Consider the following 18,364-nt stretch of genomic DNA (forward strand, 5'->3'; position numbering starts at 1 on the left):
CACATGGAATCATCATGGAATGGAATCATACAGAATCATCATCAAATGGAATTGAATAGAATCATCAATTGGACTCTAATGGAATCATCAAAAGGAATCGAATGGAAGCATCGAATGGACTCGAATTTAATCATCATCGAATGGAATCGAATGGAATCATCAAAAGGACTCGAATGAAATCATAAATTGGACTCGAACGGAATCATTATAGAATGGAATCGAATAAAGTAATTGGATGGACTTGAATAGAGTCATCATGGAGTGGAATCGATAGGAATCATCGAATGCATTCGAATGGAATCATCATTGATAGAATTGAATGGGATCATCGAATGGTCTCGAATGGAATCATCATCAAATGGAATCCTTTGGAACCATCGAATGGAAAGAAATGGTATTATCGGATGGAATTGAATGGTTTCATCTATGAAAGGATTCGAATGGAATCATCCAAAGGAATCGAATGTAATCAACATCGAATGGAATCGTATGGACTCATTGAGTGGAATCGACTGGAATCACCATTGAATGGACTCGGATGGAATCATCAACAAATAGAACAGAAAGGAATCACCAAATGGACTCGAATGGAATCATCATCGAATGGAATCGAATGGAATCATCAAATGGGATAGAATGTAATCATCATAAAATGTAATCAAATGGAATCATCACATGGAATCGAATGGAATCATCATTGAATGGAATCAAATAGAACCATTGAATGGAATCAAATGGAATCAACATCGAATGGAATCGAATGGAATCATAGAACAGTATCGAATGGAATAATCATTGAATGGAATTGAAAGCAATTATTGAATGGACTCAAATAGAATCATTGAATGGACGTGAATGGAATCATTGAATGGAGTAGAATGGAATCATCGAATGGACACGAATGGAATCACCATCGAATTGAATCCAATGGAATCATCTAATGTACTCGAATGGAATCATCACCTAATGGAATAGAATGGAATCATCAAATGGAATCGAATGGAATCTTCATCGTATGGAATCGAGTGCAATCATCGAATGGACTTGAATGTAATCATCAGAGAATGGAATCGAATGGAATCATCTAATGGACTCGAATGGATTCAACATTGAAGGGAATATAATGGAATCATCATCGAATGGAATCAAATGGAATCACCTAACGGACCTGAAAGGAATCATCACTGAATGGAAAAAAAAATGGAATCAACATTGAATGGAATCAAATGGAATCATCATTGGATTGAATAGAATGAAATCATCATCGAATGTAATCAATGGAATCATCTAAAGGACACGAATAGCATCATCATTGAATGGAATTGAATGGAATCATCTAATGTTCTCGAATGGATTCATCATCTCATGGAACAGAATTGAATCATCGAATGGAATTGAATGGAGTCATCATCCTATGGAATCGAATGGAATCATCGAATGGACTCAAAAGTAATCATCGGGGAATGGAATCGAGTGGAATCATTGAATGGACTCGAATGGAATCATCATCAAGTGTAATCAAATGTAATTGTCTAATGGACCCGAAGGGAATCATCATCGAATTGAATCAAATGGAATTATTGAATGGACTCGAATGAAATCATCATTGAATATAATCAAAAGCAATCATCAAATGGATTCAAATAGAATCATGAAATGGCTCGGATGGAATCAGCATCAAATGGAATCACAAGGAATCACCGAATGGACTCGAATGGAATCTTCATCGAATGGAATCGAACATAATCATCGAATGGACTCGAATGGAATCATCATCGAATGGAATCAAAGGGAATCATTGAATGAACCCAAATGCAATCATCATTGAATGGAATCGAATGGAATCATCATCGAATGGAATCAAATGGAATCATTGAATGTACTCAAATGGAATGATCATCGAATGGAATCATATGGAATCATCTAACTGACTCAAATGGAGTCATCATCAAATGGAATCGAATGGATTCATTGAATGGACTCTAATGGAATTATCATCAAATAGAATCAAATGGAATCATCGATTGGACACGAAGGGAATCAGCGAATGGACTCTAATGGAGTCATCATCGAATGGAATCAAATGAAATCATCATCCGATGGAATCAACACTGAATGGAATCAAATGGAATCATCGAATGGAATGAGATGGAATCATCATCGAATGGAGTCAAATAGAAGCATCATATGAAATCCAAAGTAAACATCAATGAACGGACTCAAATGGAATCATCGACAAATAGACTCAAATGGAATCATCATCGAATGCAATCTAATGGAATCATCATCGAATGGAATCGAATGGAAATATCATCAAATTGAATCAAATGGAATCATGATGGAATTGAACTGAATGGCTCATAATCGAATGGAATTGAATGGAATCATCGAATGGAATCAAAGGCAATAATCATCGAATGGAATCAAATGGAATCATTGAATGGAATCGAATGGAATCATTATCAAGTGGAATTGAGTGGAATCATCGAATGGAATCGAATTGAATCATCGAATGGAATCAAAGGCAATAATCATCTAATGGAATCAAATGGAATCATCGAATGGAATCGAATGGAATCATCGTCAAGTGGAATTGAGTGGAATCATCGAATTGAATTGAATGGAATCATTGTCGAATGGAATGGAATGTAATCAATGAATGGATTTGAATGGAATCACCAGTGCATGGAATTGAAGGGAGTCATCATCGAATAGAATCGAATGGAGTCATCATAGAATGGAATCGTGTGAAATCACCTAATGGGCACAAATAGAACCATCATCAAATGGAATTGAATGGAATCATCATCAAATAGAATCGAATGGAATCACTCAATGGACTCGAATGGAATCATCATCAAATGGAATCGAATGGAATCAACTAATGGACTCCAAAAGAATCATCATTGAATGAAATTGAATGGAATCACCGAATGGACACGAATGGAATCATCATAGAGTAGAATCGAATGGCATCAACAAATTAACTCAAATTGAATATAATCAAATTTAATCAAAAGCAATCATCGAATCGACTCAAATGGAATTATCGAATGGACTAGAATGGAATCACCGAATGGACCCGAGTGGATTCACAATCGAATGGACTCTAATGGAATGATCGAATGGACTCGAATGGAATCATCGATTGGATTCAAATGGAATTATCAAATGGGCTTGAATGGGAACATCAAATGGACTCGAATGGAATCATCATCAAATGGAATCAAATGGAATCATCAAATGGAATTGATCAGAATCATCATCGACTGGAATCAAATGGAATCATCAAATGACTTTAATGGAACCATTATCAAATTGAATCAAATGGAATCATCGAATGGAATCAAATGGAATCATCAAATGGAATCTAATGGAATCATCAAATGGAATGCAACGGAATCATCATCGAATGGAATCAAATGGAATCATTGAATGGAATTGAATGGAATCAGCATCGAATGAAATCAAATGGAATCATCATCGAATAGAATTGAATGGAATATTGGAATGGAATCATCATCAAATGACGTCCAAAGGAATCATCAATTGGACTCGAATGGAATCATCATAGAATGGAATTGAATGGAATCATCGAATGGAATCGAATGGAATCGAACGGTGTCATCGAATGCACTCAAATGAAATCAACAATGAATGGTATCAAATGGTATCATCGAATGTAATCGAATGGAATCATCTTCAATTGGGATCAAAAGGAGTCACCGAATGGACTCGAATGGAATAATAATCGAAAGGAATCGAATGGAATCATTGAATGGAATCATTGAACGGTCTCGAATGGAATCATTGAAGGGACTCGAATGGAATCATCATCTTATAGAATCGAATTGAATCATCATTGAATGTAATCAAATGGAATCATCATCGAATGGAATCCAAAAGAATCAACATCAAATGGAGTCGAATTGAATCATCATCGAATGGAATCCAAAGGAATCATCATCGAACGGAACCAAATGGAATCATCATCAAATGGAACCGAAAGGAGTCATAATCGAATGGATTCGCATGGAATCATCGTCGAATGGAGTCGAATGGAATCATCATTGAATGGAATTGAAAGGAATCATCAAATGGACTTGAATGGAATCATTCAAAGAACCCGAATGGAATCATCATCGAATAAAATCGAATGGAGTCATCGAATGGACACGAATGGAATCATCATTGAATGCAATCGAGTGGAATCATTGAATGGAATTGAATGGAATCATCATTGAATGGAATCGAAAGGAATCATCATCGAATGGAATCGAATAGAATCATCATCGAATGGAATCAAACGGAATCATCATCGAATGGAATCGAATGGAATCATCATTGAAAGGAATCTAAGGGAATCATCGAATGGAATCGAACGGAATAATGCAATGGAATCGAATGGAATCATCATCAAATGGACTCCAGTGGAATTATCATTGAATGGTATCCAATGGGATCATCGAATGGACTTGAATGGAATCATCGAATGGAATCGAATGGAATCATCAAATGGAATCAAATGGAAACATCATCGAATGGAAGCTAATGGAATCATCAAATGGACTGGAATGGAATCATTGAATGGACTCGAATGGAATGATCATCGAACGGAATAGAGTGGAATCCTCGTATGTAATCAAATGGAATCATCAAATGGAATTGAATGGAATCATCATCAAATGGAATCGAATGGAATCTTCGAATGTAATTGAATGCAATCATCATCGAATGGAATCGAATGGAATTATCATTGAATAGAATCAAATGGAATCATTGAATGGAATCGAATGGAGTCATCGTCAAGTTCAATCAAGTGTAATCATCGAATGGAATCGAATGGAATCATTGTCGAATGGAATGTAATGGAATCAATGAATGGAATTGAATGGAATCACCGATGAATGGAATGGAATGGAGTCATCACTGAATGGAATCGAATGGAGTTATCGAATGGACTCGAATAGAATCATCATCGACTGGAATCGTGTGGAATCATCTAATGGGGAAGAATAGAATCATCATTGAATGGAATCGAATGGAATCATTGTCGAATGGAATGGAATGGAATCAATGAATGGAATTGAATAGAATCACCAATGAATGGAATGGGATGGAGTCATCATCGAATGGAATCGAATGGAATCATCGAATGGACTCAAATAGAATCATCATCGAATGGAATCATGTGGAATCATCTAATGGGGAAGAATAGAATCATCATCAAATGGAATCGAATGGAACCATGTAATGTACTCAAATGGAATCATCATTGAATGGAATAGAATGGAATCATCGAATGGAATTGAATGGAATCATCATTGTATGGAATTGAATGGAATCATCGAAAGGACTTGAACGTAATCATCAGAGAATGGAATCAAATGGAATCATCAAATGGACTCAAAAGGAATCATCATCGAATGGAATCAAATGGAATCATCGAATGTACTCGAGTGGAATCATCATTAAATGTAATCAAAAGCAAACATCAAATGGATTCGAATAGAATCATCGAATGGAATTGAATGGAATCATCATTGAATGGAATCAAATGGAATCATCGAATGGACTCGAATGAAATCATCATTGAATGGAATCGAATGGAATCAAAGAATGGAATTATCGAATGGACTCGAATGAAATCATCATCGAATGGAATCAAATAAAATCATCGAATGGAATCGAATGGAATCATCATCAAATTGAATCGAATGGAATCACGGAATGGACTCGAATAGAATCATAATCAAATGGAATTGAATGGAATCATCTAATGGACTGCAATAGAAACATCATCAAATGGAATCATCTATTGAACCCGAATAGAATCATCATAAAATGGAATCAAATGGGATCATCGAATGGACTCGAATGGAATCATCATCGAATGGAATCGAATGGAATCATCTAATGGACCTGAATGGAATCATCATTGAATGGAATAGAATGGAATCATCGAATGGAATTGAACGGAATCATCATTGTATGGAATCGAGTGGAATTATTGAATGGACTCGAAGGTAATCATCAGAGAATGGAATCAAATGGAATCATCAAATGGACTCGAATGTAATCTTCATCGAAAGGAATCAAATGGAATCATCGAATGGACTCGAGTGGAATCATCATTGAATATAATCAAAAGCAATCATCAAATGGATTCGAATAGAATCATCGAATGGACTCGAATGAAATCATCAACGAATGGCATCGAATGGAATCATCGAATGGAATCGAATGGAATCATCATCAAATGGAATCGAATGGAATCACGGAATGGACTCGAATAGAATCATAATCAAATGGAATCGAATGGAATCATCTCATGGACTGCAATAAAAACATCATCGAATGGAATCATCTATTGTACCTGAAAGGGATTCATCATAAAATGGAATCAAATGGGATCATAGAATTGACTCGAATGGAATCATCATCGAATGGAATCGAATGGAATAATCAAATGGACCCGAATGGAATCATCATCGAATCATCGAATGGAATCGAATGGAAACAACGAATGGACTTGAATGGAATCATCATCGAATATAATTGAAACAATCATCAAATGGATTCCAATGGAATCATCGAATGGACTCATATGGAATCATCATCGAATGAAATCAAATGGAATCATTGAATGGACTCGAATGGAATGGTCATCGAATGGAATCGAATGGAATCATGGAATGGAATCCAATGGAATCCTCTTCAAATAGAAATGAATGGAATCATCGAATGGACTCGAATGGAGTCATCATCAAATGGAATCAAATGGGATCATCGAATAGAATCGAATGTAATTTTCATTGAATGAAATCGCATTGAATTATCAAATGGACTCGAATGGAATCATCGTCAAATGGAATTGAATGGAATCATCGAATGGACTCGAATGGAATCATCATCGAATGAAATAGAAAGGAATCATTGAATGGAATCATCATTGAATGGAATTGAATGGAATGATCTAACAGACTCAAATGGAATTATTGTCGAATGGAATAGAAAGGAAACATCGAATAGACATGAACTGAATCACTATGGAATGGAATCGAATGGAGTCATCATCAAATGGAATCGTATAGAATCCTCTTCGAATGGAATTGAATGGAATCATCAAATGGAATAGAATAGAATTATCTCCGAATGGAAACAAATGGAATCATTGAATGAAATCAAATGGAATCATCATCGAATGGAAACATCATCAAATGGAATTGAACAGAATCATCATGAAATGGAATGGAATGGAATCATCGAATGGAATCAAATCTAATATTTGAATGGACTTGAATGGAATCATGATCGAATGGAATTGAATGGAATCATCAAAAGGAATTGAATGGAATCATTATCGAATGAATTGAATGGAATCATTTAATGGTATCGAATGGAATCATCTTCAAATGGAATCGAATGGAATCATCACATAGAATTGAATGGAATTTTCATCAAATGGACTCGAATGGAATCAACATCAAACGAATCAAATGGAATTTTCGAATGGAATGGAAGAGAATCATTGAATGGACTTGAATGTAATCATCAAATGGAATGGAATGGAATAATCCATGGACTAGAGTGCAATCGACATTGAATGGAATCAAATGGAATCATCGAATGGACTCAAATGGAATAATCATCGAATGGAATCGAATGGAATCATCAGTGGATGGAAACGAATGGAATCATCATCGAATGGAATTGAATGGAATCATCAAATGGTATCAGATGGAATCATCATCGAATGGAATCGAATAGAATTATGGAATGAAATCGAATGTGATCATCATCAAATGGACTCGAATGGAATCATCATCCAATGGAAACTAATGGAATCAACATCGAATGGAATCGAATGGAAACACCATCGAATTGAAACGAATGGAATTATCATGAAATTGAAATGGATGGACTCATCATCGAATACATTCGAATGAAATCATCGAATGGAATCGATTGGAATCATCATCAAATGGAATCGAATGGAATCACTGAATGGAATCGAATGGAACCATTATCAGATTGAAATGAATGGAATCATCATAGAATGGAATCGAATGTATTCGTTTAATGGAATCAGATGGAATCATCGAATGGGCTTGAATGGAATCATCGAATGGACCCGAATGGAATCATTATTGAATGGAATTGAATGGAATCATCGAATGGTCTCGAATGGAATCATCATCGAATGGAATCGAATTTAATCATCAAATGGAATCAAATGGAATCATCATTGAATGGAATCAAATAGAAGCGGCATCAAATAGAATCGAATGGAATCATCATCAATGGAATTGAATGGAATTTTCTTCAAATGGAATCGAATGGAAACATCATCGAATAGAATACAATGGGATAATCGAATGAAACTGAATGGAATCATCATCAAAACGAGTCAAAATAAAACAAAGAATAGAATCCAACAGAATCATTGAATGTATTCAAATGGAATCATCATTGAATGGACTCGAATGGATTCATCATCGAATGGAATCAAATGGAATCATTGAATGGACTCAAATGGTGTCATCGAATGGAATCTAATGTAATTATCATCAAATGAAATCAAATGGAATCATCGAATGGAATCAAATGGAATCATCATCGAATGGAATCAAATAAAATCATGGAATGCACTCGAATAGAATCATTGAATGGACTCAAATGGAAACAACATTGAGTGGAATTGAAAGAAAACATCAAATGGAGTTGAATGGAATAATCGAATGGAATCATCATCTAATGGAATAGAATGGAATCATTGAAGGGACCCAAAAGGAATCATGATCAAATGTAATCAAATGGAATCATCGAATGGAATCCAATGGAATCATCATTCAATGGAATCGAATGGAATCATCATCAAATGTAATCGAATGGAATCATCATCAAAGGGAATAGAAAGGAATCATCATCAAATGGAATCGAATGGAATCATCAATAAATGGAATCGAATGGAGTCTTCGAATGCAGTCCGTTAGAATCATCATCGAATGGAACCGAATGAAGTCATCATCTAATGGAATCAAATGGAATCATCGAATGGACTCAATGGAATCATCATTGCATGGAATCGAATGGAATCGAATGGACTCAAGTGGAATCATCATCGAATGGAATCAAAACAATAATCGATTGGACATGAATGGAATCACCATCGAATGGAAATGAATGGAATCTTCGAATGCAATCGAATGAAATTATTGAACGGAATCGAATAGAATCATCATTGAATAGAATCGAATTGGATCATCATCGAATAGAATCTAATGAAATCATCATCGAATGGAATCTAGTGGAGTCATCATCTAATGGAATTGAATGGAATCAGCAAGGAATGGAATCGAATGGAGAAATCGAATGGAATCCGTTGGAATCATCATCGAATGGAACCGAATGCAGTCATCATAGAATGGAATTGAATGGAATCAACGAAGGGACTCGAATTGTGTCATCATTGAATGTAATAGGATGGAATCATCAAATGGACTCGAATGGAATCATCCAATGGACTCTAATGGAATCATCATCGAATGGAATCAAATGGAATCGAATTGAATCATCGAATGGACTCTAATGGAATCATCATCGAATGGAATCGAATGGAATCATCGAATGGACTCGAATGGAATCATTGAATGGACTCGAATGGAATCATCATTGAATGTAATCGAGTGGAATCCTCAAATGGAATCAAATGGAATCATCAAATGGAATCGAACAGATTTATAAGAAACTTACTTGAACCAAACAATAGAAAAACAAACAAACCAAAACCCCCGAAAACTGTGATGAGCAAAGTAGACATCAGAACAGGAAATATCACTGGGGATGAAGAATAACATTTCACAATGACAAAGGGCAAAATGTACCAAGAAGTCATGTAAATATGAAATATGTACGCACACAATAGCATTACTTTAAAATACATAATATAAAACCTATTAAAACTGAAAGGTAAAATAGTAAAACCATAGTCATCCATGGGAATTTCAACAGTCTCCTGCCAGAAATTTTTAAATTTTGTTAAATGTAATGTTGGGAAGGTTAGAGAGGATCTTATAAATATAATTAGCCAACTTGATCTAATTGAATCTTTTAGAATAATCTAAGGATGAGGAATGAGGTAGCAGAGAAAGAAAAGGCAGACATCAACGTGACATTAGTGTTTCAAGGCTATGAGAATACACCAATAATGGTGTGTGTGTGTGTGTGTGCAGATGGTAAGCTCAATCTTAAAAATGTTGAGTTTTAACTGACAATTCATTATTAGGAAAGATAAGAGGAAATGATATCTAGTGAGAGGCTATATGACTGAACTCTAAGAGCAAGGTCACAGCAGAAATTGTGTACTTGACAGCTCTATAAGGAGGTCAGTCAAAAATAAGTCAGTGATGAATTCTCTGGTGTAAAAGCAGAGGAATGAGGATTAGATTTAAAACACATGGAAGCAGAGTGACTTATGATAAAAACATGAGCTTGAAAATCCTGCAGAGAGGGCTTTAAATCCTGGGTAAGATATTCTGCTTGTGTAGGCAATAGTGATAAAAACACAACAACAAAGAGAGGTAAAGAGCACTTTCCTTTGATATAAGTAAAGGGCACGTCTTATTGCACATATATATATATATATATATATATATATATATATATATATATATATATATATGTATGTATGTATTCAACTGACATTCAACATGTTTCTCTCACTGAAACAGCAAGCTCTCCAGGCCTTCATGTTCCCAGTGAGGTATGTAACCTTCTGATGATTATACTCACCCTCCCTCATTGCAAAGCTCCCATTGTTATTGTCTTGGCTCTGGATTCCCTCAAAAATAGACTATGAAACAAATATCTGGGGTCAGATACTTTAATCAGAAATTGAGTGAGAAAGCACAGAAGTGGAGAAAATGAAACAGAACACGAAGCCAGTGTGAATGAGTAGTTACTGCTATGTGCTCAGTAATGATGGAGGTATGGAGATTGTGTCAAAATAACTTTACAAAGAGATGGGGATGCTGGAATTCCCATCTCTTATTGCTTAAGGATTGCCTTAGAATCATTAACTCTCCACCCTTAACTCCTTCTTTTTTCCTATGTGTGGTTGAGAAGCACTGGTTAGCCTCAAGAAGCTTGCAGGCAGGCCCAAAAATCAGAAAGACAGGCATGATGTGGGGAGCTCTCAGTTAGCTGGAAACAGGTGAATTTCAGGTGAACACATTGAGTCCAGGACATAGAAGACAAGTCATCAGCAATATCTGCTATAGCCAGTTTTCTTTTTCTTTTTAAGAATATATATACTTTTTATTGGGGGTCCCCAAGTCCCCCTTTGGTTTAATGATTCACATCACCCAAGAAAGCTGATTTTTTTTGTGGTTATAGTTTCTAACAGTGAAAGAAGCCAGATTAAAATAATCAGAAGCATAAAAGCACATAAAGTAGAGTCCAGGACAAACCAGATGTGAGCTTACAGGTGTCCTTTCATAGTGGGGACTTCACACTGACTAATTTTCTTTACAATGGTGTGAGACAACATGTGTGAACTTGTTGCCAACTAGGGAAGCTCCGTCAGTCTTGAGTCCAGGGTTTTTATTAGGATTCCACCACATATGCATCGAGCGTCCTGTGACTGAACTTAGCAACTTAGTTCCCAACCTCCCTATGCCCTAAGAGAGGTCATATTAATATGGCATTACACAAAGTCATAGGCATACAGAAACAGGTACTCACAAGAAATCACGTTGTTAGCATCAGTTATTTGATATGACCTACGTTGTCACGCATACAAAGACTCTCATCAGGCAACATATACCAAGGGCTCATAGGTTATCATCTCCCAGAAGCTTGTCAAGGGCTAGTCCTGAAGAACTTTGGAATGCACAAGGTTTTGGAAAGCCATGTCTGCAGAATTAACCCTTCCTTACACAACCTCCAAGAATTTTTTTTTATCTTTAAAAATGTTCTTTGATCTTTGACAATGTACCAACCAATACTGAGTAATTAGTAACAACAGTGTACTCCTGAGTACTTGCACCTGCAAGGAGAAAAAGGACAGATGCACTTACATAGGACAGATGCAAATAGACACCACTATGACAAGTAAAGCTGAAATAATCAATAAATTCCTAAAGACAAAGTGGGGCTGGTCAGATTGGGAGACTGCTGACAGCTGCAGAAGTTGGGAAAGATCCATCATCTCGAAATCTTTTTCCCCACAAACCCACTGCAATCTCTCAAGCAATTGGTAAGGAATCCACGAGAGTCTCTATATGACATAGATCAGGGAGAGCAGAAAACTTGGGAGGTGACCAGGTCTTGGGGTCCGAGCCCTTATGAATGGGATTAGTGCCTTTATAAAAGAAGCTCATTGGAGTTCTTGTGTGCCTTTCACTATGTGAGGACATAGAAAGAAGGCAGCATCTGTGAACCATGAAATGGGCTCTCATCAACACTGAATTTGTGAGCATCTTGACCTGAGATCTTACAGCCTCAAGAAGTGTGAAAAAAGAAATATCTGTTGCTTTTTACTCACTCAGTTTATGTTATTTTGTTATAAGAGTCCAAACAGACCAATATATTCCACTTAATATGTAGGGGAAGGCAACAAAAACTGCCACACTTAGGATCCTCCTGATGCTGGGATTATGAAAACAGGAAAAACAAAACAAAACTGCTCTTGAAGGTGAAGGAGGAATATCACTGAGCTCACCAACACAGCCAGGAAAAGAACAGAAGTGTGAGAAGTCTACATTCCTGAGACCCTGAGAAAAAGTACCTGCATAAGACTGAGATGAAATTACCTACTCTAGTTATGATTGAAATCCCAAAAAGAAAAGAGGGAAAAATAATGGAGCAAAAGAAATATTTTTCAAAATAACTGCCAAAAATATTCTAAAAGAAGTGACAGAAAATCAAACTTCAAATATAGGAAACTCAGAGAATGTCAAATAGAACAAAAAGAAATAAGTATTGCATCTTGAAAAATCTTTAAAAAATCGTCTAAATTTTATATCTTGCTCCAAATATATAGAGATATAAATAGGTTATCATCAAGATATGGAGAAAGCCATATCATGGAAACACTAAAATAAGGCTGTGGAAGGACTACATTGATATTGGACACAACATAGTTCGGAACAAGAAATACTATCAGAGATGAGAGATAATAGATAATAGAATAATGAAATCTCAAGATTTAAACATCCTACTAATTATGGTATGCAGCTAACAACAAAACCTCCAAATACATGAGGTAAAACAGGAAAGAAATCAAAGGTGAACTAGAAAAATCCAAAATTATATTTGCAGACTTCAACACTTTTGTCTTAGTAATCGAAAGACTAGGCACAAACTCAGTAAATATGTGGAAGAAGATAAGAACAACACTATCACCAACAAGACATCCAATCTTCAATGACAGATACTCTTTCCTTTCAAGTGAAAAAAAAAACAGTATGGCATATTCTCTAACAAACCCAGAATTTCTAATATTTGCGTTCTTCCTTCCTTCTTTCCATCTTCCTTTCTCTTCTCTTCCCTTCCCTTGCCTTCTTCCTTCCTTTCTTCTTTTCCTCTTCCCTTTCTTTTCTTTTTTCTTTTCCTTTCTTTCTTTTCTTTCTTTTTTCTCCTTCCTTCCTTATTTCCTTCTTTGTTTCTTTCCTCTTATTCTTCCTTCCCTCCTCCCTCCCTTCCTTTCTCTCTCCCTTTTCTTCCTTCTTTTCTCATATTCTTTCTTTCTCACGTTCTTGCTTTCTTTCCTTTTTTCTTCCTTCCTCCCACCCTCCATTACTTCCTTCATCCCTCCCTTCCTTTCCTCTTTTTCCTTCCTTCCTTCACCTGTTTATTTTCTTTGTTTCTTTGCCTTCCTCCCTTTTACCATTCTCTCTTCCTCATTTCCTTCCTCCCTTCCTCCTTTCTTTCTTTCTCTCTTTCTCTCTTTCTTTCTTTCCTTCTTTCTTTCTTGTGTTCATGCTTTCTGTTTTCTCCCTTCCTGCCTTTCTCCATTCCTCCCTCCCTCCCTTCCTTCCCTCATTTCCTCCTTCTTTTCTTTGTTTATTTCCTTCCTTCCTTCTTTCCTTTCTTCTTTTTCGTTCTTTGTTTTTTTTCTTTCTTTTTCTTTAATGCAATTCATATTATTTTTAAAAAATTAAGAGAGGGAAACAGAAAAATAAAGAACGCTTTAATCTGCAGGTCAATAGATTTTGTCTGCTGTAGGCCAAAGAATGGCCTCCCAAAAATTTTCATGTCCTAATTCCCAGAGTCTAACATACAAATATGTTAGGTTGCACGGCAGTGTGAAATTAGATTTCAAGTGAAATTAAGGTTGTAGAAAAATGATAGAGAGATTTTCTTAAATGGCTGGGATCAATGAAATGACAAACTTCCTTATAAGTGAAAGAAGAAGGCAGAAGAAAGGCAACCTTGGAGGTGGTGGCATGAGAAATTACTCAACATCACTGACTTTTAAGATACAAGAATGAGGACACAGCGCGGTGGCTCATGCCTAATCCCAGCTCTTTGGGAGGCTAGGGTGGGTTTATCACGAGGTCAGGAGATCGAGACCATCCTGGCTAACATGGTGAAACCCCATCCCTACTAAAAATACAAAAAAATTAACTGGACGTGGTGGCAAGTGTTTGTAGTCCAAGCTACACAGGAAGCTGAGGCAGAAGAATCACTTGAACCCGGGAGACAGAGGTTGCAGTGAGCTGAGATCGTGCCACTGCACTCCAGCCTGGGTGACAGAAGGAGACTCCATCTCAAAAAAAAAAAAAAAAAGGAAAATGGGATATAAGAATGAGGTCATGTTCCAAAGAATAAAGGTGGCCTCTGGATGCTGAAAAAAATCAAGTAATAGATTCTGCCACATAGCCCTCAGAAAGACTGCAGCCCTGCCCAAAACTTGATGTTAGCCCTGTGAGTTTCATTTAAGGCTTCTGAACTACAGAACTGTAGGATTAACGGTCACTTTATTGTAAGATATGAAGTTTATGGTAATTGGTTACATCAGCAAGAGGAAGTTTATATTGTAATTGTATCATGAAAATGAGAACCATAATTTAAAAACTGCTTTTAATACTGCACTTGGATGTTTGAAATCATGTACATGGAAATGATCTCTATGTGCATGAGGGAGGATAGAAAATTGATGGCAAAATAATGCAAATGCAAATCTTACACTCATTTCGATGTAGGTTTCATTTAATCTTTGAAATGAAAATGAAATTAAAAGATTGTGATCTTTTGATGAAATTAGACTAAAATGAACAATAACAAAATAAGAACTTACTTATATTCTTTATATGGTCAATAAAGAAGTGATAGTGAAAGAAACAAGATCAAATGAAGGTGATGATTTAGGAAGTTGGAAAGATAGCTGACACTACAAAATGGTATATAACCAGTGAACACTTAGACACATTGACTGATGAACTTCAGCTTTTGGCTTGGTGAGAGCATAAAATGAGAGCAGCTGAGGTTTGCAAATTTGTAATCTCCTTGAGGAAAAACAGGGGAAAACACATCTCAGCCTAATAAGATTTATCTACTAAAGAGTCTAGACTTGATCCATTTGTCCTTGTAATTCAAAAGCTAAATCAAATACTGATTTGATGTATCTTGTGAACAACCATTGCTGATTATCATCGCATACCTGGGATTCTCTTGTATCTGATATCTAAAATATTTGGTAATTCCTGGACTTTCTCTTTTCAAACCCAGTACAGTTTGAGTCTTAGAACAGTTGTGTTTGAGAAATTCTTCCCTCTACTGCATCTGTGAATGGGTATAGCATGGTTACATACATACTGTCACTCCATAGAACATTTGTTAAATTAAAGCCAAAGTTTAAAGCAAGAGCTTTAACTTAGTTGTTTTACTAATGGTTTCCTCCCCAATGGCCACAACAATATTGATACCATCACACCTTTTAACATAAAGCTTGGTGTTGTCTATTTTTCAGGCACTGTCTTCTATATGATCTCAGTATTTTAAAAATCAGCTTCCAGCCCATATGGTGGTTCATGCTTGTAATACCAGCAGTTGAAGAGGCTGAAATGCGAAGATTCCTTGAGCCCAGGAATTCAAAAGCAACCTGGGCGACATAGCAAGACCCAGTCTCTATCAAAAGTTAAAAAAAAAAGTGGGCATGGTGATGTGCACCTGTTGTCCTAGCTATTTGGGAGGCCAAAGTGGAAGGATTGCTTCAGCTTGGGAGGCTGAGGCTGCAGTGAGCAGTGATTGCACCACTGAACTCCAACCTGGGCAACAAAGGAAGACCCTATCTCAAAAATATATATATAATAAAAATAAAAATCAGCTCTCATTGATTTCTATGTAAATATGAACAGGTGATGTCCATATAGACATAAATAATAATATTTCTGACAATGGGTCCATATGATCTTCAAAATGTAAAATGCCTATCTGTGTAATTGACTGGTTAGTCTCATTAATGAATATAGATTCAATTCTACTTTCTTGTTCTAGATAAATTATATAATCTAGGCTTTCATTTCTCTTATTTACTGATAACAACAGGAAGAATGACAACATATCTATTTTGGAAATTTACTCTGGTAGGAGTAAAGATGAAACAATGATAGAATTGCACGGACAACTAGAAAAAAGTATAGTCTTCTGATATTCTATCACATCACATACTAAAGTCCTCATAAAACTCAGATATTTTATCTAAAAATGTTATTTTCATCATAGGAATTATCAAAGCATGAGACTACAATTGTATTAAAATGTGCTTGTATCACAAGCACAGGTGCTAAAAAGGAGGGGAAAGCATCCTTACTGATATTTTCAACGTATGTTTTACTTTTCATCAACATGAATCTCAACTTGATATGATGCAGATTGAAGGAAATCACCCATAATTCCATATGAAGAAGGCCTGTGATATTTTATGGGAAAATAAATAGAGAAAATGCTAACAGAAACCCTATTAAGTGTGAAGTTTATGGAGCAAACACAAATCCAGTGGTTAAAGATACACACTCGAGTTCTGTTTGTTGTCTTGGAACAATACGGTTTAGAGGTGACTGGCGGGTGAGGAGAACATATGCGAGTTCACCAAAGAGAAAAGCTGAATGAGGCAATGCCTCTTCCTGACCATATCTCTTACTCAGATAATGATTTAATTTATTGTCCAGTAAAGGGTATATTAAAAAATCATATTAGAAGTCATGCAGTGAAGTTGTCCAGGGAAATCAAGACTTAACAGTCTCACTGTGACAATAATGAACAGGGGGATTCCCTCAAGATAGACTAGGACATGACCCCACACTGGCAGGTAGTAGTACCAGAAAAGAACGCATGGAAAATCTTTACCTTATGCTTGAGGTAGGGACCAGGCTAAAGTGAAAGCCAGACCTAAAATTCTATCTAAAATAAATCCACAATCGAAGAAAATATGTGGTGTAGAGGCATAGAATGTCTTTACTGGATCATTGCAATAGTAAGATAAATTCAACTTTTTACATTGTTTTATTTTCCTCCAGTTAGGGCTTGAGGTTTGTCTCTGGAGAGTGACTGTCAATTGCAGCCCTGCCTTTCTGGGGTTCGGGTCAGGGGGTTGTGGATGCTTAACATGTGCCTTTCACAGGACACTTCCTTACCCCAGCAGTGGCCAGGTGTGCATGCCACGACCAGGCCTCCCTCTCACAGAACATCTTTTGAGACTCGGAGATGCCTGGTGACTGTTGCCTCACCTGTGTCCTGTGTATTTCTGACAAGAGCCACTCTCAGAGACCCTGGCCAGGAGGAGAGTTAGGTTCCAGTGTAGGTCAGGTCAGACCCATGGAGGCCACAGAACCAAACATGGGAAATCACAGAAGTAGGTTTATTACTCACAGATCCAGAGAAGAGAGGGTAGCTGAGAAGAGGGTTTAGCTGTGTCCCCAGCCAAATCTCATCTTGAATTCCCACATGTTGTGGGAGGGAACAGGTGGGAGGTAATTGAATCATGGGGGCAGGTCTTTCCCATGCTGTTCTTCTGATAGTGAATAAGTCTCACAAGATCTGATGGTTTTATAAAGGGGAGTTTCCTGCACAAACTCTCTTGTCTTGTCTGCTGCCATGTGAGACGTGCCTTTCAGCTTGCATCATGATTGTGAGGACTACAGAGCCATGTGGAACTGTGCATCTATTAAACCTCTTTCTTCTGGAAATTACCCAGTCTTGGGCATGTCTTTACCGGCAGTGTGAAAATGGACTAATAGAGTAGCACACCTCATAGGGTGAACAAAATGGGGAAGATGAGTGGGGAGCGGGAGAGAGAAAAGGGTTCTGTGTGACTCCAGCCTTTATTGGGCCCAGAACATTACCCAAATAAGTATTA

General features: G+C 36.6%; 2 annotated features.

Annotated features, from left to right (window-relative positions):
- Nucleotides 8,984–9,485: an enhancer, noted in NCBI's record as "OCT4-NANOG-H3K27ac hESC enhancer chr7:61055135-61055636 (GRCh37/hg19 assembly coordinates)". NCBI's record gives its function as "activates a minimal SCP1, AML or CMV promoter by ChIP-STARR-seq in naive H9 embryonic stem cells {active_cell/tissue: H9 hESC(naive)}" and the evidence as "EXISTENCE:reporter gene assay evidence [ECO:0000049][PMID:30033119]".
- Nucleotides 9,486–9,985: an enhancer, noted in NCBI's record as "OCT4-NANOG-H3K27ac hESC enhancer chr7:61055637-61056136 (GRCh37/hg19 assembly coordinates)". NCBI's record gives its function as "activates a minimal SCP1, AML or CMV promoter by ChIP-STARR-seq in naive H9 embryonic stem cells {active_cell/tissue: H9 hESC(naive)}" and the evidence as "EXISTENCE:reporter gene assay evidence [ECO:0000049][PMID:30033119]".

This window comes from Homo sapiens, chromosome 7 (assembly GCF_000001405.40).
Source record: "Homo sapiens chromosome 7, GRCh38.p14 Primary Assembly".
NCBI lineage: Eukaryota > Metazoa > Chordata > Mammalia > Primates > Hominidae > Homo > Homo sapiens.